The 24,235-nt window shown below is 44.8% G+C and overlaps 1 protein-coding gene across 5 annotated transcripts in view, besides 5 other annotated features; it reads right to left on the reverse strand.

Annotated features, from left to right (window-relative positions):
• The window catches only part of CHSY1 (chondroitin sulfate synthase 1), a 76,322-nt gene that overhangs the window by 3,270 nt on the left and 48,817 nt on the right, over positions 1 to 24,235 (reverse strand). The window contains exons 1-2 of one of the 5 annotated variants that reach the window (XM_047432240.1): positions 14,024 to 22,427; positions 8,997 to 9,223 (exon numbers count right to left, since the gene is read on the reverse strand). The exons of 2 other annotated variants lie outside the window; for them this stretch is intronic. Coding sequence is in view for 1 of the 3 variants with exons in the window: in XM_024449873.1 (XP_024305641.1) it covers positions 6,364 to 6,558 (195 nt within the window). In the remaining 2 variants the exon portion in view is untranslated. Of the gene's footprint in view, positions 1 to 6,363; positions 6,574 to 8,996; positions 9,224 to 10,431; positions 22,428 to 24,235 lie in introns of those variants that run through there. 2 more of the 5 variants (XM_017022011.2, XM_024449873.1) reach the window with 2 other exon arrangements.
• Positions 88 to 698: an enhancer, noted in NCBI's record as "H3K27ac-H3K4me1 hESC enhancer chr15:101719289-101719899 (GRCh37/hg19 assembly coordinates)". NCBI's record gives its function as "activates a minimal SCP1, AML or CMV promoter by ChIP-STARR-seq in naive H9 embryonic stem cells {active_cell/tissue: H9 hESC(naive)}" and the evidence as "EXISTENCE:reporter gene assay evidence [ECO:0000049][PMID:30033119]".
• Positions 699 to 1,308: an enhancer, noted in NCBI's record as "H3K27ac-H3K4me1 hESC enhancer chr15:101719900-101720509 (GRCh37/hg19 assembly coordinates)". NCBI's record gives its function as "activates a minimal SCP1, AML or CMV promoter by ChIP-STARR-seq in naive H9 embryonic stem cells {active_cell/tissue: H9 hESC(naive)}" and the evidence as "EXISTENCE:reporter gene assay evidence [ECO:0000049][PMID:30033119]".
• Positions 10,492 to 11,379: an enhancer, noted in NCBI's record as "H3K4me1 hESC enhancer chr15:101729693-101730580 (GRCh37/hg19 assembly coordinates)". NCBI's record gives its function as "activates a minimal SCP1, AML or CMV promoter by ChIP-STARR-seq in primed H9 embryonic stem cells {active_cell/tissue: H9 hESC(primed)}" and the evidence as "EXISTENCE:reporter gene assay evidence [ECO:0000049][PMID:30033119]".
• Positions 14,507 to 15,050: an enhancer, noted in NCBI's record as "H3K27ac-H3K4me1 hESC enhancer chr15:101733708-101734251 (GRCh37/hg19 assembly coordinates)". NCBI's record gives its function as "activates a minimal SCP1, AML or CMV promoter by ChIP-STARR-seq in naive H9 embryonic stem cells {active_cell/tissue: H9 hESC(naive)}" and the evidence as "EXISTENCE:reporter gene assay evidence [ECO:0000049][PMID:30033119]".
• Positions 19,208 to 19,502: a silencer, noted in NCBI's record as "tiled region #9624; K562 Repressive non-DNase unmatched - State 15:Elon". NCBI's record gives its function as "represses a minimal TATA promoter and a strong SV40 promoter by Sharpr-MPRA in K562 cells {active_cell/tissue: K562}" and the evidence as "EXISTENCE:reporter gene assay evidence [ECO:0000049][PMID:27701403]".

Raw genomic sequence — 24,235 nt, forward strand, 5'->3', positions numbered from 1 at the left:
AAGAGATCACAAATTTAGTATTGTATGATTGAGTGCCAGCACATGCTAAAGAAAATGCAAATATTAGAAATGTTTCTGAATGGACCACAGCACACAAAAGGCCCTAGATAAGGCCCGATCAACAGCAGTCCAATGTGGTTAGAAGAATTCACAGATAGAAACTGCTTAAGGAAGTAAGGGTTAATAACCAAAGTTGGCCAATATACTTTCACAGGCAAACAGAATTATGAAAAAGTTGTCCCATAATGAAAACATATAAAATTGAGATCACAGTGCACCACAGGAGCATGCCTGAAAGATAAAGCCACCCCCGTCCCACTACGCCTGTGAAAGGGACCCACAGAGTCATGCGTCCCTGGCTGAAGACCTGAATAGCAGATCCTGCGGCTTCTATCTGTGGGAATAAACTTCCTCCTGAGAGCCAGAAGAACTCCAGGCAAACAACCTGAGCGAAGGAGTACCCTGCTTCCAGGGAGCTAAGGGAAGGGAAAGCCTATCAGAGGCAGGAGGCGGCCTGGCCCTGCGAGGATGCTGCAGGGATGAATCAAGGCTCTGCTGAGGTCTCTGGAAGCAAAAGCACACGCTGAAAACCCTCTTCACGCTGCTGGCCTCCTGCGTACGAGGAAGGTACCCCTCTCCCAGGTCTTCTGTGGAGGCAGGAGCGGGCCTGCTTGCTCAGCACGGGGTCTCCGGCACCAGCACGGAGCTTGGTGCCTGGGGGATCAGAAAATGCTGGCAGATGGGAAACATGCAGGACGCACAGGGCTCACCATTCCACCAACCCTGCCTCCGCCCCGTGGCGCAGGTTTTGGGACAGCATAAGCTTACGGGCCATCAGCCAAAATGGGTTCCCTCAAGTTAGGAAGGGAATGTGCCTAATGCCTCAGTACATCTGGGCAAGGAGATGAACGTTTTTACAAAGCATGTTGGAATGCAGAGTAATAGTTTGCAAAAAATGTTCAGTGAAAGCATTTGAGGTTGGTATCTGGTAAATTAGTCCTGTTTCTTTCAAGTTCATGGTTGTTTTTTGTTCATATTGTTAAAGACTAACTCTTGGTAAGGGATGACACGCATTCTGGCTGACTGGTTTATTTGCCTCTGGACAATCATATGCTGACTCTTTCCTGAGCCACTGCAACTACCGTTTAATAGTAGAGAAATATAAATGGGCACTTTTATACCTTACTTCTTTTTCTCATAAGGTAAAAAGTAAACAGGGAGCTGGCATGCCTGCCAGGCCCCGCACAGAGCTGGGGTCTGATGAGGGCTAACCTCTACCTCCTGGGCACCCGTGAGTCCGGTCTTAGAGCAAGAATTAGAGCAGAATTACAGGTCCTCCAAAGTGCCGCCGCTGTTTCCAACTTTCCTTCCCACACCGCTTATGCTCCCCACATGGCAGGTGCACGCATGGACTTACCACTGAAATCACTCCCACACTGTGGCACACTTTTCTAATTAATTAGAAAAGGTGGTGAGGTTTTCTGTGGGGGTAGGAAGCAGGGCCTCCCTAGGCTAGGAGGAGAAACTCCGACTCTGACCCCCATGCAGCACACAGGGCACACTTTATATGGAATTTTACATGCCCCTTCTGCTACCTACTATCAACTTTACTATCAACTACAGGAAAGCAAATCTCAAATTCTTGTTTTAAATAAACTGAAGCAAAGAAGTAACCTGGGGCTTGCTGAGAGAAGGCAGTAGGCGACTGGCACCGGGACTCCTTCAAGCCCTGATGGGCGGGCCAGATACAAACAACATGAAGATAAAGGCCCTGCCACAAGGCTTGGATGAACCACGTTAACTTATCTCTCTTTTTACTTTGCTCCTTCTGTGGGTCGCAACAAAAGAAGCCTGATGCACTTCCTGCCCAAAGCATCCTTACTGTTCACTTTCTAGCTGGGCTGATTCTTGGGTACAAACGGCAGGGCTACAAGGTGGCAAATGTCATGTGGGGACTCAAAGAGAAGAAAGGTTGAGAAAGGTTATTTGCAGGCCATAAAACCTTGAAGCAAATATAGTCATTTTACAATCCTGTTGGGGCACTCGGAGGCACAGCAGTTACAAGGACCTGCTACGGTGCCTCAGAAGACGCTCCCAGGGTCTGGGAAGCCATGCTTCCTGTTCCACCAAGGCCAGCCTTTGTAACGTGACTTAAGTAACTGCGCAGGCCACCAGACCCCACCGCTGACTGCACCTGAGGATCTCATGGTAAGGAAGGCTCTTCCACGGCAGAGACCCACAAGCCCACAATGTGCCTAACTGAGAGCTAGCAGAGTCATGACTGTCTGCTGTGAGATAAAAAGCTAGATGACAATTCCGGCAGAGATTCTACATGTATTTGTTTCAAGTATAAATTGTTTCCATTTCATCTGCTCATAATTTCCAAATTCTTAACAATGAACACGAAGAACCATAATATCGTTTGTGGAAGGTCTCTCCATTTCCAAGAGTGTAAACACACATTAATTTGGCCTTACAAGCTGTCTTCTACAGTGAGGTGAGAACAGTCTGAAGCATGTGCTGTTCCTTCTTTGCCCTGCAGGAAGCTCGTGCTGCCAATTCCATCTCCCCATGTATCTCCGACCCTTCTCTCTCCAGCCCCACTGGGTCATGCCACAGGTTCCCCATGGGTCTGCTTGCAGAATTCTGTTCCTCCCTCAACAGTGCTTCAAGACAGTAGCACAGAGGTATTCTTAGAACACACATTGGAGACTTATGGCTGAACAGGAGTGGTGGAACTGACATGATTTTCTCCTCTCTTCCCAAATACAGTGGATCCTTGAACGACGTGGGGGTTAGGAGTGCCGACTCCTCATGCAGTCAAAAACCCATGTATGAGTTTTGACTCCTAAAAAACTTAACTACTAATAGCCTACTGTTGACTGGAAGTCTTATCAATAACAATCAATAACACATCTTTTGCATGTTGTGTGAATTATATACTGCATTCTTACAATAAAGGAAGCTAGAGAAAAGAAAATGTTATTAAGAAAATGGCATGGAAGGAAGAGTAAATACACTTACAGCACTGTATGTATTAATACTGTGAGTTTACATTGTCTGTTTACAAAATCAACCGTCTGTATCTGAAATGGATGGGCCATTGCAGCTGCAGACCTCAATCTACAGTACCTAGCAAGCAATTCATCTTTTTCTTGTAATATTATGACTTTTCTGTTTCTTGGGAACCATTCAGCATGGTTAGTGGTACTTCATATGGGTCCCACGGTGTTATTCGAGGTTCACAGTATTGCACTAAATCTGACGAAAAATATAAGAACTGCAAGAGATCGCTTTTGACTGCAATATGCAATTTTCTGGAGTGATGAACTGTTCAGGTGGGGATGATTAGTGTCACCCAGCATTTCAAGCCTACATTTGCACCAGCTGAGCTCACCACAGTGGCAACAGGAGGCAGCTATGAAGTCACTACAGGAGTAGAGTATGTATCACAGTTGTTTTATACAGTTATGAATGAATGCTGCATCTTAGTCCTCTGGGTTTACTTCCTTGATAAATACATAACTCTGAAGTTTAGTTTTTCCAGAAATTACACCCAAGCACAAGGTGGTGAGGTGCAAGTCTGATAATGGGGAAATGGAAATTGGGGGACTTGAGCAGGACCCTGCCCTCATATCCCACTTGTGTCCCAGAAAACTTATTCCACTCCCCACCCCAAGCAGGAAACCGGAAGAGTCTTTTGGATCAATTGAACAGTACCATAGATACCTAGAGTCTGCCAACAAAAACATCACCCAAAAAGCTGGATCATTACAGCAAAGACACTAGTTTTAAAAGCCTCTGCTACACAGCTCCTGGTCAGCTTCTCAATGCTTCACTCTTAATGAGAATCAACAGTCAAGGATCATCAGGGCAGCTGAAAAAGGGTTCTGAATGGGAATGATGAAAATAAAACAAAACAAAAGCAAAACCCTTGGTGGAACAGAAACAACGCAGTGAACAGAAGAAAAACACAACAACAAAAACAAAAATCTACAATATAGTCAAAGGGAAGACAGTGCAACCAAAACAGAATGTGATAAACACGAAAATCAGAGGAAAAAACCCTTGAAACCAAACACAAGACAGCAAAACAAAGGAGTAGAGTTTGAAGATAAAACTGAAGAAATCCCTAGAAGATCATAACGATAAAAAAAAACCAGACAACAGGAGAGAAAAGTATTCATTCTAGGAACAAAAAGCACACAGGAGGGAAAACAACAATATAAAAAAATGGATCCAGAATTAAGGGAGTCAGGTGCCTGGGTTAAACTCTAAGTATCCAGTATAAAAAGTACAGTATAAAAGTATCCAGTATAAAAACTACAGGAAAAAGCAATCTAAAAATTTCCACAGAGGAGGAAAAAGGGCATATACAAATAATCAGAAATGGAAATGGCACCGGACACAGATAACACCACTGGGAGCTGAAGAACAATGCCTTCAGAAGTGGGAGGAGTGGAAAATTATTCTCAGTGTAGAATTCTCTTCCCAAACTATCCATCCAGTGAGAACAGCAAAAGATGTCAGATACTCAGGACTCAATTTTACCTTGCACTCATTCCTTCCCAGGAAGCTACTGAAGGATATGTTCCTCTAAAGCAAGGAAAGAAAGCTGTAAAGAAGATGACAGGATCCAGGAAACAAGACGCATGGGCCAGAATGACCATGCAAGGAGGCACCACACGGACAGCCCTGCAGCAGCTGCGGGAACACGTGCAAACGGGGGAGGGTGTGGGTGCCCACTGCCTCCATCTCCAGAGTCCAGCTCAGTGCTTGACACATCGAGTTCATAACAAGTGAGGTCTTTAAACAGAGCAAGTATGGAGAAATTGTTGAATGACATCCATACAGAAGGAAACAGCTGATGATGACAGACACGATATGTTACACATGGTAAACGGCATACAAGGATAAGGCTGGGCTCCTCTGGCCAGGATGTGTTTTAAAACGCAAAAATCAGCAGCATATTTAAAGAGAAAATATATACTACTCTGGAGAGATGATATAGTGGTCACCTTTTTTTTACTCCCTAGACCAAATGTGACTGCACACTTTATTCCTGGCCGTCCATACCCCACACAGGGAGGGCGGGCCCCCACGGGAGGCCTCTACATGACTGACTACTTCTCACACACCCACTAGGACAACACATCCCCACACATTTTCAGGAATCCATTTCACAAAGTGTTTTAGAAGCTGCCTACGGTTGTTACTTTCACAGAGTGTGTGTGCTAAGGGGGTGAACATGGAGAAAAGTATTGACTAAACAGGCTGGTAGAAGCTGTAAAACAGACTGAGGGTTTTAAACTACAGTGAAAGTTGCTGTAAGTACCTTCCGGCTAAACTCTACAAGTTTGAAATAAATGTGTTACATATATATATAATTTTTTTTTTTTTTTGAGACAGGGTCTCCTTCTGTCATCCAGGCTGGAGTGCAGTGGTGTGATCTCAGCTCACTGCAACCTCCACCTCCCAGGGAGCTGGAACTATAAGCATACACCACCACATACAGCTAATTTTTGTATTTTTTTGTAGAGATGGGGTTTCACCAGGTTGCCCAGGCTGGTCTTGAACTCCTGGGATCAAGCAATCTGCTTGCCTCGGCCTCCCAAAGCCCTGGGATTACAGACGTGAGCCACCCAGCCCGGCCATTTTCTTTTTTTAATGAAAAAGAAATCTGTTGTAAGATAAAAAGGTGTGTGTGAGTGGTGCACATGCACATGCTTGGGGGAGGGAGCACCTGAGAGAAAGTGAACTTAAAATAAAGCCAAGTCTACGCCCAGACTGGCTGGTGGCCCCTGCTCTGTCCCAGAGGAGTTACTTTTATTAATTTATTATTTATTAATGTTGCTACGGTATATAAACAATTCAGACAGAGAAGTTCCTACCTGACAGACTGGGTGGAACACATACCTGTAATGATCTTTAAAAAAATCTAAACTCACGTCAAGGAAATAGCTCTCCCTTTCTAAAAGAGGGTGATGCGGGTTTAAGCAACAGGTGAGCAGACACTCTGTCGCAGGTAAGGACGAGTACCTCCACCTTAACCAAGACCTGCCCAAATGGGCTTCGGGTGGTGCCCTTCAGCCAATTTCTGTACAAAGCCTTGTCATAAATGGCTTTGGTGTAGAGGTAGGGAAACATTTTCTTGTTACCCTCAGCGTGTGGAATGGGAGATGGAGAGGCAGAAATCAAATATGCTGTCTTTAGAGCTCTTTAAGAACAGGAAATGTGAAATATAATGCAAAGCAAAAATGTCAATGAGATATTAAAGCCAGGTTAGGAAAGAAATTCATACATCATCTGTGATTTCTGAATGGAGCAGGAAGGAAAACCTAGGGAAGCCCTGACGGGCCCCACCAGGCTCCAGGGCCATGGGACCTCCAGGCCAGCCCTTGCTCTGAGTGTGAACAACCTCCATGGAGCACCCTCCATCCTCCTTCCCTGTGAACACTCTCCATGGAGCACCCTCCATCCTCCTTCCCTGTGAACGCCCTCCATGGAGCACCCTCCATCCCCCTTCCCTGTGAACGCCCTCCATGGAGCACCCTCCATCCCCCTTCCCCGCCTTCCCAGGTAGCCCTCCCATGTGACCACATCAAGAGATCTCAGTGCTTCTGGATGGAATCTTTGCCTCTGTGGCAAGGCGGCCATTTGTACTGAACTTTTGAATCCCCTGCAATGTTCTCCTCGAAATATCTTTTTTTTTTTTTTTTTTTTTTAACCTCACCAAGTTTCCAGTTTCTCTGCTGTGATTTGGGTTTTCCCTACTTCCTACCTTTCATTTTTCTTTGAGGATGCGTATTTAAGAGGCATGCTGTGGGTGAGATGAAACTGAATCATTTTGCTCTAGGCACATCAAGGAGAAATGCTGGTCATTAAGCGTTTAACGCCTACATCTCCAACCATCTCCCTGCTTTCCCTCATATTATGGGCTACGTCACTGCTCACCACCAGAATGCCATTAAGTAGGAAACACGCAGGTAGCATTTAATTACTGAGCTCCAGGCAATTTCCTGCATTCAACAGGAAATTGTTGAAGTCCCTGACCCTTAAGTAGTATAGTCAGGCCAGGCATGGTGGCTCATGCCTGCAACCCCAGGAGTTCCAGACCAGTCTGGGCAACATGGTGAAACCTTGTCTCTACCAAAAAAAAAAAAAAAAAAAAAAAATAGCCAGGGGTGGTGGCACATGCCTGAGGTCCCAGCTACTTCAGAGGCTGAGGTGGGAGAATCAATTGAGTCTGGGAGGCGGAGGTTGCAGTGAGCCGAGATCGTGCCACTGCACTCCAGCCTGGGTGACAAAGTGAGACCCTGTCTCAAATAAATAAATAAATAAATAAATAAATAAATAAAACGTATAGTCACATGACTAAATTGCAATTTTCTTGTAACAGAAATAAGGCTACTATTTCTCTGGAAGAAAGTTTAGAATATAACAATTTCAAGAATAAAGCTGTAAGACCTTGGACAAGCTACTTGAATTGATCAAGTCTCAAGTTTTCTCATTTATAAAATGACTGGGCTGGGCAAGGTGGCTCACACCTGTAACCTCAGCACTTTGTGGGGCTGAGGCGGGAGGACTGCTTGAGCCCAGGGATTCAAGATGAGCTTGGGCAACATGGTGAAATCCTATCTCTACAAATAATTAAAAAATTAGCCAGAGGTGGTGGCACATGCCTGTGGTCCCAGTTACTCAGGAGGCTGAGGGGGGAGGATCACGAGCCTGGGAGGTCGAGGCTGCAGTGAGCCATGATCGCACTACTGCACTCCAGCCTAGGTGACAGTGCAAGACCCTGTCAAACAAAAACAAAAACAAAAACAAAAACAAAAACAAAAACAGACAAAAAACACAAAAAAGTGACTGCATTGTACTAGACAGAGGATCCGTCAAGGTAAAGAATTCAAAGATCTTATGTGACCATGTCAGAACGAGTCACAAATCCTCTGAAGCCCAGCTCTGACATTCTTCTGCCCACCTACTCCTGCTATGGCTGAAGCTGCAGCAATATCTTCATTGACTGAAACTATATTTGAAGCATTAAAGGGCAATAACACGTCCCTATTAACTGTTTCTATCCTGTGAAACTTAATCTCCAACTCCTCTATAAAATTAGTTATAAATACGAGATTCTTAACAGTTCATTTTAGTAACTCCAGGAATAAAGTAATGACATTTTTGTTATAAAGAATATTTTGGGCCGGGCCAGTGGCTCACGCCTGTAATCCCAGCACTTTGGGAGGCCGAGGCAGGCAGATCACTTGAGGTCAGGAGTTCGAGACAAGCCTGGCCAATGTGGTGAAACACTGTTTCTATTAAAATTACAAAAATTAGCCAGGCATGGTGGCGTGTGCCTGTAGTCCCAGCTACTCGGGAGGGTGAGGTGGGAGAATCGCTTGAACCTGGGAAGCGGAGGGTGCAGTGAGCCCAGATGGCACTACTGCACTCCAGCCTGGGCAACAGAGCAGGACTCCATCTCAAAAAAGAAAACAAACAAACAAACAAACAAACAAAACTCCAGAATATTTTGATAGTACCAAATTCAAAGTTTAAGAGGATTTTATTATAAGGTATTTCAATAATCTATAATTTGGCACATCACCTAGAAGAATATTATAAAACAGAAAGTTAGAAGTACTGCAGAAGAAAACACAACTCAATCTAGACAGGTTAACTTAATACTCACAAGAGTATTCCTTGCTTAAAAAAAACTCAGCAAAGAAACCTTCTTAAGATGCTTATAGTGGCACTGATGACTTCATTTAATTTCCACTGTCCATGAAACAACCCTTAATCTTTGTTATAAAAAGTGCCTCCATATCCTTCAACTCCAGCAAAGCCATCTCCCTTCCTGTGAGATGTTTCAGGGCTCTGCGTCATTCTCCAGTGAATCTGAGAGGGGCTAATACCAAGGTCACGCTATTCCCAGGAACTTCTAGCCCAGCTGGGAATAACCATCAACTACCCATATCTAATCTTTGGTTAACAAATACCTTCCACAGTCTTCATTAGCAAATGTCCTTCTTGTCCGCTGCAAGGAGAGCCAACATTCTCATTAAGTCCTCGTTCTTCCTGTTAACTGTTTACATGACTGTCCTTCAGCACGTACACGGTTCAGCCTCAGCTACAGACCATCACTGCTACAGAGCGACAACTTCCCATTCGGACTTAGGCAGCGTTTCAGTTCATTACAGAGAAGTGGTTTTCTCACCCTTTTGTCCTGAAAAGTGGTTCAAAGAAAGTAAGCGTTGTCTAAATGTCAAGAGACCGTAACTGCTGGTAGCCAGTCACGAGTTTTAAACATTTAAATTACATTCTCATATGCTTCCAGGTAGGCTCCACGGGTAACTTACTGTCCCAAGCAGGACCTTGTGAGATGAAAGAGTGGGTCTGTTAATAATCAGGCCGAGACCACCAGCATAAACGGTGGCGGTCCAGACTCTCAGGACGCATGGTTATCCCACTGTCCCTGCTAGGTCTTTCCTAATTAGTTTTGTGTAGGCTTTGCCAATTTTCATCTAATTAAGTTCAAGGATTACGTTTTGTGTTTTAAAAACTGAAATTGTCATGGAAATTAAGCTGGGACTTTAGTGGTTAAAAAAAAAAAGAGAATTATTATGAATGAGTCCTGAATGGTTACTAATTCTGAAACCTAAACACCTTTTAGAGAAGCCTGACTCATTTCAAAATAATTTTGAGAATTAAGCTTAGCAAAGTAAAACAAAAGCTGTTGCTAGTAATTCAAGGCTTCTGCATAAGACTATAAGTAAAGCGATAAAACTGAAACAATATATTTTGCAACTGAACATTCCATGTCTACATCATCAGCAGAGACTGTGGTAGGAGACCCTTATCTGCAGTCCGAAAACTATCTAAACTCCCATGTCTTCCCTTCACAAACATCTGATCTGGGGCAATCAGTTGAATGCACCAGGCATCGCCTTAACAAAAAAAAAATGAAGTGGCAGACGTGGCAGCATGATGCAGGATGAATACATGCAGAACCATCTTTAAACAGATGAGGTCCTGTGCACACACGGCACTCAATATTTACTGAACGCTCCCGTGAAAGGCGCCGTACCAGGCAGTGAAAGCCCAAATGTCACGTACAGAGAAGAAACAAGCGCGAACACAAGATCGAGCCGGCGAGCGTGGCGGGCGAAAGAGTCCCAGCCCGGGCCTGCCACGAAGCGGCCACCAGGCTTCTCTCCCAAGGTGTTTCTAAACCCGGCCCACCCAGCACCAGGTATGGCCCTCTGGCCTCCACGCCCGTGCTCTCTCAGCACCCTCTCCACTCCAGTCAACACGGACCACACACCAGCGTCACACGTGACCCAACATGTCTCTACGAGAACGTGATATAAGCTCTAGTCTAGGGGACTGCCAAAGCACAAACTAAATCAAAAATAAAATTAAAAACAAACTTACAGGGACAAGGTGGATGTAAGCCAGAAGGGATGGAGCTCGGGGGGACCAGGACGTGCCACACAGGCCCAGTGCAGCCGGGTTTAAAGGGAAGCTAGAAATCCAGCTGTTCTGTGTCAAGTCTAACTGAAGTGCTGGCAACCAGTTCAAGTGAGAGAGAAAGGGAAAGGGACAGAGAAAAGGAAAAGAGAGAAAAAAGAAATACAAGCCAAAGTATATCTGTGGGTCAAATATGACCTACAGATTCACCTCCTTCTAGGATATTTTTCATCTACACCTGACTTTTTGTAGAATCTTATTCGACATAAAGACATTCAACGCCGTGTTAACGTATAGCATTTAATGAAGAAATGTCTTACTTAAAAAACCCAACCACCCCCACCACCGCCTAAAGACTCCAGCGGCGCTGGGACAGTGGAGGCCTGGTGAGTGGGGACAGCACAGTGGCGCTGTGGGCGGGGAGCAAGGGTTCCCGCAGCCCAGCTCCACCACTTGAGTCCTCGGAGGAAGAGCAACTGCTCTAGAAGCCCTGGGGTCCCAACCCAGCTTTGGGTCATGCGTTACACTCAGAACTGTCAGTGTTTCTGTCATTACACAGTGTTGAGTGCGGTGGGGTTAAATGCCACAGGTTTGGACCCTAGGTTTTGAGCACGACCCCTGTGAGGCTGAAGACTCCACGTCTGCCATCTCCAGTTCATATGAAGTCTGAGGGGGGACTCTCACTTCACAGCTACCTCACAAAGGCACCATTCTGAAAGTTTTCTTTCAAAAAAGAGGGTAAGAAAAACACTGGAGAGGGGACTGAGGGAAGAAGAGGGAGTGGGTTTGTTTTTCTGGGGAAGGGTGGGTGGGGAAGGGAAGCTAGTAAAGCTTTAAATTCCATAGTGTCAAATTCCCAGGGAAGCAATATGAACAGTTTTCAGAGCATAGGCAACCAACAAAAGCAATCCCACGGAGAAGTGACAGGCTTTTCAACCCTTGGGGCTGGAACAACTGGACATCCAAATGCAGGAAGATGAAACGAGACACAGACCTTACCCTTCACAGGATCACAGGCCTAAATGCAAAAGGCAAAACTGCAAAACTCCTAAAGAAAACAGAGGAGAAAATCTAGACAACCTTGGGTTTGGTGATGACTTTCTAGACACAACACCAAAGACACACTCCATGTAAGAATTGATAAACTGGACTTAATTAAAGTTAAAAACTTCTGCTCTGCAAAAGACACTGCCAAGAGAATAAGACAAGTCACAGACTGAAAGAAAATATTCACAGACTTATAAGACTTATCTAAAATATACAAAGAATTTCTAAACTCAAAAATAGGAAAACAACCCAATTAAAAAGTAGCCAAAGGCTTTAACAAGCACCTTGCCGAAGTTACACAGATGGTAGAAAAAAGCATGTGAAAGTCATCATATGTCATCAGGGAGATGCAAATTCAAACAACGAGATGCCACGACACACCTAGTAGAAGGGCCGAGAGGAGCGACGCGAAATGCTGGTGAGGACATGGAACAAGAGGGACTCTCGCTCACTGCCGGGGAGAATGCAAAATGCTACAGGCACTTAGGAAGACAGTTTGGCAGTTTCCTACAAAACTAAACATACTCTTATAGGATCCAACAAGTGAGCTCCTTGGTATTTACCCAAAAGAGCTGAAAAGTTAGTGTCCACACAAAAATCTGCATATGGGCGTTTCCAGCACTTTTGTTCATAATTGCCAAAACTCAGAAGCAACCAAGATATCCTTCAGTTGGTGAATGAATAAACTGTGGCACATTCAGATAATGGAATACTATTCAGCATTTTTAAAAAATGAACTATCAAATCATGAAAAGACACGGAAGAAAGTTAAATGCATGTTACTAAGTAAAAGAAGCCAAACTGAAAAGGCTACATACTGTACGATTCCAACTATATAACACTGTAAAACAAAACAAGGCAAAACTATGAAGACAGTAAAAAGATGAGTGGTTGCCAGGGGTTACAGGGGAAGGAAGGATGACCAGGCAGATCACAGAGGATTTTTAGGACAGTGAACTGTTCTGTATGATACATATATGAGGGTATCTGTCATAAACTTGTTTAAACCCACAGAATGTTCAACACCAAGAGTGACTCCTATTGTAAACTGTGGACTTCGGGTGATAATGATATGTCACTGTAGGTTCACCAATTGTAACAAAGGTACCACCACTCTGGTACAAGGTGTCCATATTGGGGGAGACTGTGCACGTGTAGGGGCAGGCGCCACTTGGGAAATCTCTGCACATTCCACTCAATTTCGCTGTGAACCTAAAGCTCCTCCAAAAAACTTAATTTTTTTTTAAAGCAACCTATTAGGGAAAAAACATCCTCAAATTATCTATGTTAAGTAGATTGTAGGGGAAACTGGTAGTACTTTTTCTCTGGCTTCTCATTTATAATAAATTCATTCATTTTCCTTCCTTCATCCATCTATCTACTCACTGCTCTAAGCAAAAAAAAAAAATTTACAGAAATATATAAAATACACTAAACTTCAGATCCTTTGTGGAAAGAGGTAGGTGGAAATAAAATGCAAGTAATTAATAATTAACAATGAGTAGGATTGTTTGTTCTTTAACACAGTATTCTAAACTAAAAAGCCCTATACAAAAAGAAGAGAGAAATATTTTTAAGCATCTGCTATGAGATACCATACTTCTCTCTCTCTCAACACACTCATTTAATCCTCACAATTTTAAACTCCTTGAGAGCAAAACTCATTTTGTTCTAGGTGCCAAGCACTGAGTAATTGCCCTCTAAGTACTTGCTGAATAAATGAATGAGTAGATACTGTATCTCGTTTACAGGTAAGGACAAAAAGATTAATCACAGACAACAATGTAAGTGGCTCCTGTCAATACGTAAACATTACAACAGAAGAGACGTGTCATGCCCAATAAACAAGAGCTAAGAGAACACACACTCTGCACAGGGCCTTTGCCTGCTCAGAAAAGACATCCCCATCCCTACCCCCACCTCCTACCCCTCAGATTCCCAGACAGCCAGGCAGGGGTCTGGGGCAGACCAGCCAAGGCAAGACAGCCAACCTTAACCCCAACTCCCCCCACTCCCAAACAATATGGCAACAAGAGCTAAGACAAGGGGACTTTCAAATACAGAAGATCAATATCTTCAGAAATACGAGAGGAAAAGCATCCTTCAAAGAGGATCAACTAGAATTCTCAGAATTCAGAGTTCTAAACGCCTCCCTCGTGGCTCCACAGAGGTGCCTTGAAGGCAGGTCTCACAGCACACAGCAGAGCCTGGCATTGATGTATTCCCTTAATAAACATTTATCCAAAGGTTAAGATGTCATAGCTGAAAGTAATCATCCTACATGTATTTCCAAAATAACCTACCTCCCTGCACAATCATTCAACTATCCTTTTAGCTAAACTCTAGGCAACATGTTTAAACTGTCAGCCAGCCCTTTCACCCTTCAGAGGCACCCAATTTTAAAAAATGCTTATTACCACTCCTCTCCCATTGAAGTGAAATAATTTATGTGATTTTATATAATAACATTAACAACTAACATCTCTCGGAAGCTATACCAAGGACCTACCCTGTATGCACTGGTGTAATCCGACGAGGTAGCTCTGTTACTGTGCACGTTTTACTTTCAGGGATACTCTAGTTTGTGCGTTCAGCAACTTGCTCACACCCCGCAGCCACTGCACACAGCAAAGCCGAGGTTGGCTCTCAGCTCTCTCTCGGGCTGGTTCTTGACAAGACAACTAGAAATGCCTGTCCGGCAAGCAGGCAACAAACAAGGAGTGTGTCAGACGGGGATGAGAGCTTTGGAGAACCACGAAGCTGGGGAGACAGCAGCGAGGGCAGGGCTGCAGCATCATATCCTTGGGTCAGGGAAGGCCTCTCCAGCAGGGAAAACCTGAGGGAGACCAGACAGCAGTGAGGGGGCCAGGGAAGCTTTCCAGAGGGAATCAACCTTGGAGCAGACTGAAGAATACGCTGTGCTCTTTCAGAACATTCATTTCTTCCCCTGGGCAAGGGGCCACACCCTGGAGCACGGAGCAAGCATAAACGGCTGGGCCACCAGCCTGACCAGCTGCCCGGGAGCAGGCGAACGCTCCTTCCTCTCCAGCCGCAGTCACGCTGTGTGCATGCACATGTGCGTATTTTAATGGCGTCATCAGCAAGAAAGGTTTAAATGCTGGAAATGACTATTCACAGTTTCTGACCAAGTATGTTTACTCCATGGACCCAAATTTGGGTCAGATAATGCATAAGAGTAAAGAGAAGAGTGGGAAAGTCCTCTATTTAATGTGCACACAATACCAACACTCCTGGCACCGAGGAAGACACGCTGGGGATAGCACCATGCTCCACACCAGGAGAGTGTGCATCTTCACGCTCCTTCCTTGCCTGACAAAACCTGCTCTCTTGGCCATGGAGACCACTCTGACATCACTTCTGCTTGGTGAGCAGGTGGGGCACTGAGTCCCAGCAACAGAGGGCACCAGCAAGGGTAGGGCCATCAGCGTGGATTTCCACACCTCCCTCTACCACCTTCTTCCTCCATGTGCTCAGGGGCGGTCAGATGCCCTGGCCTTGGCCAAGCACCAGGGCAAAGTGGGATCCAAAGGCCACCAGCATCTTTTAAAAGTGAAAGTGACTCGAAAGCTTCAAGTAATTTTCTCTGTGCCCTCTTCATGTAGCTACGGAGCGCCTTCGGCAGGAAAGCCATCACTAGTGACAGTAGAGTTAAGTAATCTAAGAATGGGTAACTTCTGTTTTATTATTAACATTAACACATAGACCACCCACGTGCTACAAACTGAAAGAAAAGAAAAATTTCATTGGAGGTAAACCTGTCTCAACTAATTAAATGTCTCTACTCCTCTGCTTCTTTCTTAGCCTGTTTGTGTGTCCATGTGTACGCACACATTTTACATGGGTACCTCAACTGAGAAACATTTCAGTAGGCTAGGCAGCATTTTAAAGTATTTCAAAATGATATTTCACAATTGCATTTTCAATTGTAATTTCTAAACTAATTTTAGATCAGAATTACGTAGCCACAACAGCTATCCAGCCATTAATTTTGCCCTTATGTTCCTTGTTCTCTACTTGGTATTTTGCACCATTAAATAAAGCTACATAATAATCAGGTGCTGAACGGAAGAGGATGCGACAGCTGCTTCTGAACAGTGCAGTGGTCTTCAATCACTCACAACCAGAGCTTCCTACTCCTCCTAGAACAGATCTGCTGCATGCTACATGATCTCCAAGTCTCCACACAATTCCATTTTCTAATCTTGCCTCTATTTCTAAATTAAATCACAAACCCTGACTTTTTGTATGCATGGGTTGGGTTGGGAGAAGGGAGACAGGGAGAGCTGTGAAGGGTGGGAGGATAAACAGTGGCATCTCAAAAAGTCAAAATTCTACTTTCAAGAGTACACTTCTGATGCCAAGAAGATAAGATCTCATGCACTTCCTCCCCAGGTTTTGAACAGATTCCACAACATATGTCTTATAACAGACTGACTACAATGAAATAGAGGGATTCATGAATGAAAAGTAGTCTTACAAACCGCATTTCATAAGCTCGCCCATAACCCACGCGACTCTTAAAATGCCGTCAAGTAGAAACATTTACATCACTTACGATGAACTATTTTTAAACCTTCTTTATTATTATAAAACAATATATACTTATTATAAAATTCTGGAAACGGGAGGAATCACTCATAATCCTACTCTGACATTTGAAAAATATTCCTTCTAATGCAACATATTCACATATAAGATTACAAAACTAATTATACTTTGCAAACTATACAGTACTTACATACTCATATATCACACCTGAGCAATAATCATATTTTGGATCATCTTATTTTCCTGAAATAGTTAACAACATTAACTGCTAAATAAAACCAAGCTATCCTACTATTTGTGTCAGGATTTCAACCAAAGAAAAAGAGACATGAAAATTATAAGCTATAAGAACAACAAAAATTTCACAGATGTGAGAAAGTTTAAAGGCTAATGGTAAAGGTATAAGTCATGTGTCAACCGAAAGCTACAAACTTTTTATTACATTTTTTATTTAAAAGCTGGCCGGGTGTGGTGGCCCATGCCTCTAATCCCAGCACCTTGGGAGGCTGAGACGGGCAGATCATGAGGTCAGGAGATCGAAACCATACTAGCTAACACGGTGAAACCCTGTTTCTACTAAAAATACAAAAACAAAATTAACCGGGCGTGGTGGCGGGTGCCTGTAGTCCTAGCTACTCAGGAGGCTGAGGCGAGAGAATGGTGTGAACCTGGGAGGCGGAGCTTGCAGTGAGCCGAGATAGTGCCACTGCACTCCAGCTTGGGTGACAGCAAGACTCCGTCTCAAAAAAAAAAAAAAAAAACCCTGTCTCCAGGGAGGAGGTAATTGCAGGAGAGACTATCAAATAGATTCAAATTCCAGATACATAGTGTCGACACCCCAGTTAGTTAATATAAATTATATATAAATATTAAAAATGGACATACAAGACCAGGAGCAGTGGCTCATGCCTGTAATCCCAACACTTTGGGAGGCTGAGGCAGGTGAATCACTTGAGGTCAGGAGTTCGAGATCAGCTTGGCTAACGTGGTGAAACCCTGTCTCTACTAAAAATACAAAAATTAGCCAGGTGTAGTGGAGGGCGCCTGTAATTCCAGCTGAGGCGGAAGAATGACTTGAACCTGGGAGACAGAGTGAGCCAAGATCACAGCACTGTACTCCAGCGTGGGTGACAGAGCGAGAAGCAGTCTCAAAAAAAAAAAAAAAAACATATATGTAAAATAAGCATACCCTAACTAAACAATGTAATTCTCATGAGATCCATAAGTATAAATTACACTAGAAGAAATGAAAACATTTTTCTTTGCTGGCTCTTATTCAGGCACTTTCTGGTGTCCCATGCTGATGTGAAGGCCAGGTGTCAGAAGTGGGAAGGTTTACGGCATAACCCATGTTTACTGGCAGAAACCAGGAAAACTCAGAGAGGTAAAAAGAAACATTAAACCTATTCTGTCTACCTAGTGATAACCACTGTTATTATCTTAGGGTATAACTCATGTCAAACTAACTTGAGAGAAGCCACAGCACTGTAATGCCACCAAGCGGGATTACACCCCGAGATCCATGACTAGACTATAAACTATATACACTAGGAACCATATACACTATGCGAACTATAGGACGATTAGCCAACACCAGCAATAAAGCCACAATTTAAATGTAAATGCCCTGGCTTCAAATGTATTTGTCAAACATTCGATATAGGCTGGGCATGGTGGCTCATGCCTATAATCCCAGCACTTTGGGAGGTCAAGGCAAGGGAACCGCTAGAGCTCAGGAGCTCGAGGACAGCCTAAGAAATATAGCAAGACCTCATTTGTATTTGAAAGAAAAAATAATTTTAAAAAAACCCTTCAATATACCACATTGGCTGTATGTGACCCCAGCAATTCAGTGAACTACTGGTACATTCCTAGAACAAAAAGGGGCAAAGCATGTTTAGTCTTAATTCTTTTATTCTTTGTTTACCTACTTCACAAGTATACATCTATACAGATACTCAAGAATCACAAATTTTGCTTGATTTCTTCCCAAAGAAAGTGGCATTATGCAATTTGAGATTTTCCGGCCAGGTGCGGTGGTACATGCCTGTAGTCCAAGCTACTCAGGAGGCTGAGGCAGGAGGATCACTTGAGCCCAGGAGTTCAAGGCCAGCCCCAACGGGTGGAAGGAGTGGGGAGAGGCAATGCCTGGCAATTTAAGATTCTTCCCTCAAATTATTGATATATTTGACTGGAAGCCCATTAATTATGTTCCTTATTTAAAGGTCACGTTAAGCTTTGGTAACTAATCACAAGACACTTCCATACCTGCCCAAATGTAAGTTTAATCACAAATGTATTCCCAAGCTCACCTGTTATGGCAGAGGAAGAACTAAAAGCCATATAACACAAATTTAAAGGAAGGAACCCTAAGGGAAACGTTTCCATCTGGACTGATCTGCTGGTTTATACTCTGAGAAGATTCCCAAGTCCTTGTATCTACGATTACAGCCAGAATGATTTTCTAGGAGAGACAAATTCAGGGCAAATATCTAAGGACACCCCAAATTACGGCATTTATATAATGTTAAATTATAAACAATTTATAATGTTAAATGATAAATTCCTTATATAATGTAAAGCTATAAATGTATATAATGTTAAATTACTATACAGCAAAACCAAAACTACAAATACAGGTGACCGATTCCTAAGAAGCCAGGATTCTTACGAATGGAAATACTTGTTAGAAGCCTATTTGAATCTCAAATTAGGAGCTTTTAAACCTAAAAGTCAATTAAACTACATTGTGCAATAGCATTTCTTAAACATCTGACCTTGGTATACGCTAAGAATTCCGCGAGTGGTATTTGGACGCCTTATATCTGAAACCTGAGAAACAAAAACCCAGTCCACCAAAGAGAGGAAAGCCTGCTGGGGACTCACTTTGGGATGTAAGGATTTGTTTCCGTCACGTCGCACAGACTGCGACCTCATCGCCAATGTATCTGTCCCCCTTCCCCTGTGGTGACAGACTGTGGTCTGACTCCGGCTATCGGGCCTTCTGTCCAGTTAGGTGTGAACCAAGACCCCCCCAAGCAGAGTGTGAGTGAGAGACCCGCTCCCCTTTTGGCTTGTGCTTAAGACCTGGCTCTGAGCTCTGTGTCTCCAGGCTCTTTCCTCTCCTGCAGCTGTCTGTCACCTAAGCACAGCAGCCACGCTACTGACCGGTGAAGGACAATGCCACAGGAGACGGCAGTAAAGCAAAATGGAAGACCCTGGACCCCTCAATGACAAGGAACACAGTCCCCCGAAATCCTGGAAAAGCCATCCCGTTACTGGACAGAGAAATTAACATCTGTCTCTGCTGCGTCCTCTCGGGTGTCTGTGACGGTGGTTTGGCCCTCTCGTAAGTCTTAAGTTGGCTACTACATTAAACACGGGAACCCATGAACGAACTATGATTTAAAAGCCAGTTTTCAGAGTCACCGCTCACAAAAAACACATCAGTAACTTCTACTTTCCGAGTGGCATTTTACAGATTATCTCATGTCATCGCATGCCAGGCACAGGTTTTACAGGTACTGCTCCCATCTCACTGCGGAGAAAGCGTACTTTCAAAAACTGGATAACTTGAGAGGAAACAGCAGTCGTAGTACCAGGCCCAAAACAGAAACACTTACATCTGTAACTCAGGGCAGGGGTCGGCACACTACGGCCCACTGGCCAAAATCCCCCATTAAAACTTCTACTGGGACACAGTTACACTCACTTTTGTTACTGTCTACAGCTGTTTTTGCATTACAGTGGCTAAGCTGAGCAGCTGGGAGCGAGATCCCACGGCCTGCAAAAACCCTAAAACATTTACCCGCCAACCCTTTACACAGCACAAAGAGTCTGCTGGCTGTGATCCAGAGCCTTCACCTTTATGCTGGAGCCCCACTTACTGGAGGTAAACCAGGCACGTGCAGACTTCGCCTAAAGAAACTCATTCCTAAGTGTGGCATCCTCCTAAGCAGTTTGCCTTCCCATCTACCACTGAGCTGCTCCCTGCTCCCACTGCTGCTGCCCAAACCACATGCCTGACCTGTGCCCTGCTGTGTTTTCCTGACACCAAGACACTCTGTTACATTTGTGGACACTGCGCCTCCAGCTTCCTACCTTTTCAATTCTAACAGAACTCCTTCAAAAAACATCACTGCGGCCGGGCGCAGTGGCTCATGCCTGTAATCCCTGCACTTTGGGAGGCCGAGGTGGGTGGATCATGAGGTCAGGAGATGGAGACCATCCTGGCTAACATGGTGAAACTCCGTCTCTACTAAAAATACAAAAAATTAGCCGGGCGTGGTAGCACGCGCCTGTAGTTCCAGCTACTCAGGAGACTGAGGCAGGAGAATCGCTTGAACCCAGGAGGCGGAAGTTGCAGTGAGCCGAGATTGTGCTACTGCACTCCAGCCTGGGCGGCAGGGTGAGACTCCGTCTCAAAAACAAACAAACGAACAAACAAAAAACACATCATTTCAGATGAAACAGTTCTGGAGACTGGTTGCGCAACTTACATACTTAAATGACTGAACTGTGTATTTAGATGTGACATGTATTTTACCAGTTAAAAACAGATTTTCTGAAAAGCAACTTCAAAAATAAAATTTTGTGGAAATTCTGTAAAAAATAAACATGTTTTATTCAAGTTAGATGAAAAACCTGGAAGTGGCAATGCTGGACAGGAAACACGACGCACCAGATTCTGTGTGGCTCTGCAGTTATAGATTCAGTCTACTTCGGTTTTGTGCATAAAAGGCAGTTTCAAGAAACTAAAAACAGACATAGCACTCCCCAAAATAGAACCCCCAAAACCACGAACAGCAGCGTATGTTCATTTGATCCCTGTGTCTAACAGCATTACAGCTGCATCAGCAACTGGAGACAAGTGAGTCACAAAAGCCCTCTGAAGCATCGTTCTGAATAAGATACAAGAAAAAGTGACTCACACAATTCGTTTCACGCAACCAATGTTTTGTGAATACTCACTATATGCCCGGTACTGTGGCAGTTATCCAATATTCTACAACATAAAATAAATACCTCATTCCAAATATCCCTTATCATCCGGGAACTAAGATGACATTCTAGGTTGAATAAGACGAAATGCTGTCACCATATGTTGTCATTTCATGAGCCAGTTTACTTCCAGAATAACTTTTTTGATTTTCATTTTAAAGAGTATCCACGTAAAAAATAAGAGACGCCTTTACGCAAAAATGCCATCTATCGACAAAATTATTCAGGTTTGCAGTCCTACTGCATTTCACATGACGGGTAAACACAACGCGAAGAAGACACGGGCTGGAGCCTGGCCTGCTTCTCACAGGCTGTGTCCTCGAGCAAGTCTCCTGACTAATTTGGTCCCAGTTTGTCTCCTGCCTGGTTTGGACCAGAAAAGTCACAAAAGTCTTTTCTGGGGTTACAATTCAGGGCAAACTAACAGTACAAACAAGGTTAGGAGAATTGTTCAAGAACTGTTCTTAAGTACCATGAAAGATGCACTGACTAAGAACACCTGCCAGCCCCTGCACCCCCAGATGGGTCAGGGACCAGACTCTTCCAGATGCAGCTCCCGAGTCTCTCCGATGTACCCACTCTTCTGCAGCCCGCAAGCAAGCCTCTCAGCTATGATTCTCTTCATTTCTTACCTGGCTGTTGCAGAAATCTCTTAGGTCTCCTCTGCCCCAGCCTCACCTTGCTCTGAACCTGTCGGGGTGGTCTTTCAATATGGAACCCTGGTCATGTTGCTTGCTGGGAATAATTCGACCCACCCCAACTGCTCTGCATACCCCTTAGGTCTCCTCACATTCCAGCCACCCCTCCTCCCTCTGCCAGGTCTCATGTTGCCAGGCCACAGTTCTGTGGATGAGGCAGGAGGTTCTCCCTCGCCATGTGTGCGAAGTCAGCCACCCTGGGTAAATCCTGTCCCCCTTCCCTGCCTGAGCCAGGGTCTGTGGGAGCCTGTACACCTTCTGAAACACAATATCCAATATCCCACTGCCCACTGCCCTCCCAGGGCAACCCAGAGTGTGTCTATAGGTGGGGGCGGTGCGGGGGGAGGTGGTCGGGGGTGGCGGGGCAAGCCAGAGAGAGAATGTGAAATCTCCTTTAATTCCTCTTAGAGAACAGTGATTCCCCACAAATGGGTATAGAGTAGAATCATCTGAGATTGTAATGCATGTCTGGCAAAAATCCACTACATAAAGAAAATAATGAATAATGAGGCTGGTGGTTAAAGAAGGAGTTGCCTATTACTCCCCCGACCCTCAGCCTTCCGTGAATATCAACGTTAAGGCATCCTGGCAGGAGGAACCACCAAACGTCCTATAGAACAAGGTGGGGACGAGTGAGCAGAAGAGAAAGGCTCACATGAGAAAGATGCCTAAGAACAAGGAGGAAGCCAATGAGCCCGCCCAGCCTAACTCCTTCCCATCCTTCTGGGGCTGGTCTGACCCATCTGATTGGTGGAGCGGCAGGGCTGCCTTTCCAGCAGGCGGTTGGGCAGTGGGGTGGGAGGAGAGGAGGCAGGAAGACTCCAAGAGGAGTTAAATCTTAGCTAGGGCTGCAGCTGTGAGTCACTGGATGGCAGGATGACAGAGGTTGCAAGTACCAGCAGCAGGGAAGAAACACAGACAGGCGTTCCCTGGCAGCTCTGGTGGCCCTGGGCTGGTAGGGGCTGCCCTTCTTTCATTCCAGCCAGTGTTTCTTAGAGAGATCAGCCTAACCAGATGGAAAGGAAGGCTGTTACCTTCCACCTTTCCTGAACTGTGTTCAAAGAGAACTGGAGGCTGCCTTCATGTTCTCCCAGTAGGTGTCCAGGAGGGGGTTAGAAGGAATCTCAGGCCAGCAGCAAGCCAGCCAGGGAAGGGCCCACTACAGCAGCTAAGGAGGACAACCCTCAGCCCTCAACACACTTCAGCTTTCAATCGGGGCTAAATTATGGGACAGACTGCATTCCATGAGCTTTAGCAATTTCAGAAGCTGCTGATGACAAGCTCTGGTCCTATCAAGCTTGCCAGGGTGGAAGCAGCAGGAGGGGCAGTGGGATGTCAGACACAGCAGAGGCTGCAGGGAAGGATGGAGGGCATTTCTGCAGGGGGGGCAGTGGGATCTCAGACACAGCAGAGGCTGCAGGGGAGGATGGAGGGCATTTCTGCAGGAGGGGCAGTGGGATCTCAGACACAGCAGAGGCTGCAGGGGAGGATGGAGGGCATTTCTGCAGGGGGGGCAGTGGGATCTCAGACACAGCAGAGGCTGCAGGGGAGGATGGAGGGCATTTCTGCAGGAGGGGCAGTGGGATCTCAGACACAGCAGAGGCTGCAGGGGAGGATGGAGGGCATTTCTGCAGGAGGGGCAGTGGGATCTCAGACACAGCAGAGGCTGCAGGGAAGGATGGAGCGCATTTCTGCAGGAGGGGCAGTGGGATCTCAGACACAGCAGAGGCTGCAGGGAAGGATGGAGGGCATTTCTGCAGGGGGGGCAGTGGGATCTCAGACACAGCAGAGGCTGCAGGGGAGGATGGAGGGCATTTCTGCAGGAGGGGCAGTGGGATCTCAGACACAGCAGAGGCTGCAGGGGAGGATGGAGGGCATTTCTGACCCCTTGCAGCACTCACTGGTAAACATGGAATAAGGTGACTCTCATTTAGGATTTTTTTTAACTTTAAAAGGCTAACATATAAATAGTAGTTTGCAAATTTAGGGATTTTGGGAGAGGTGGTTAAGACTAAAAGATTATAAAATGAGGACTAATAACTTAAAAGCCATTATGTAATGGTAATCAAACAAGAAAAAAAATATTTTACCATCATGAACCAGCTATAATTTGGGGAGTATAACATGGTCTTTGGGTTTTATGCTGGATGTAGACCTAAATTCCACATTTCTTAAAATCCAATCTGCACTGCTATAGAGAGGTTACTTGTTTCCAGAGAAAAACATTACTAGTGCTGGTTAGCATATAAAAATAAAAATGTGACAATGGGATTCAGTAACGGCTATTTTCAAGTAAACAAACAAGAAAACAACCACAAATCAATTTTATTAACAACTGATTGCACCTAAAGCCAAGCTTTAAAGTAGAAATGCACTGGGTTGCAGAAACCACAAACCCCTGAAATAGGGGGGGTGAGGGAGTATAAAGGCAGCGTGGGCGCCCACAGCACAGC

Source organism: Homo sapiens, chromosome 15 (genome assembly GCF_000001405.40).
Source record: "Homo sapiens chromosome 15, GRCh38.p14 Primary Assembly".
NCBI lineage: Eukaryota > Metazoa > Chordata > Mammalia > Primates > Hominidae > Homo > Homo sapiens.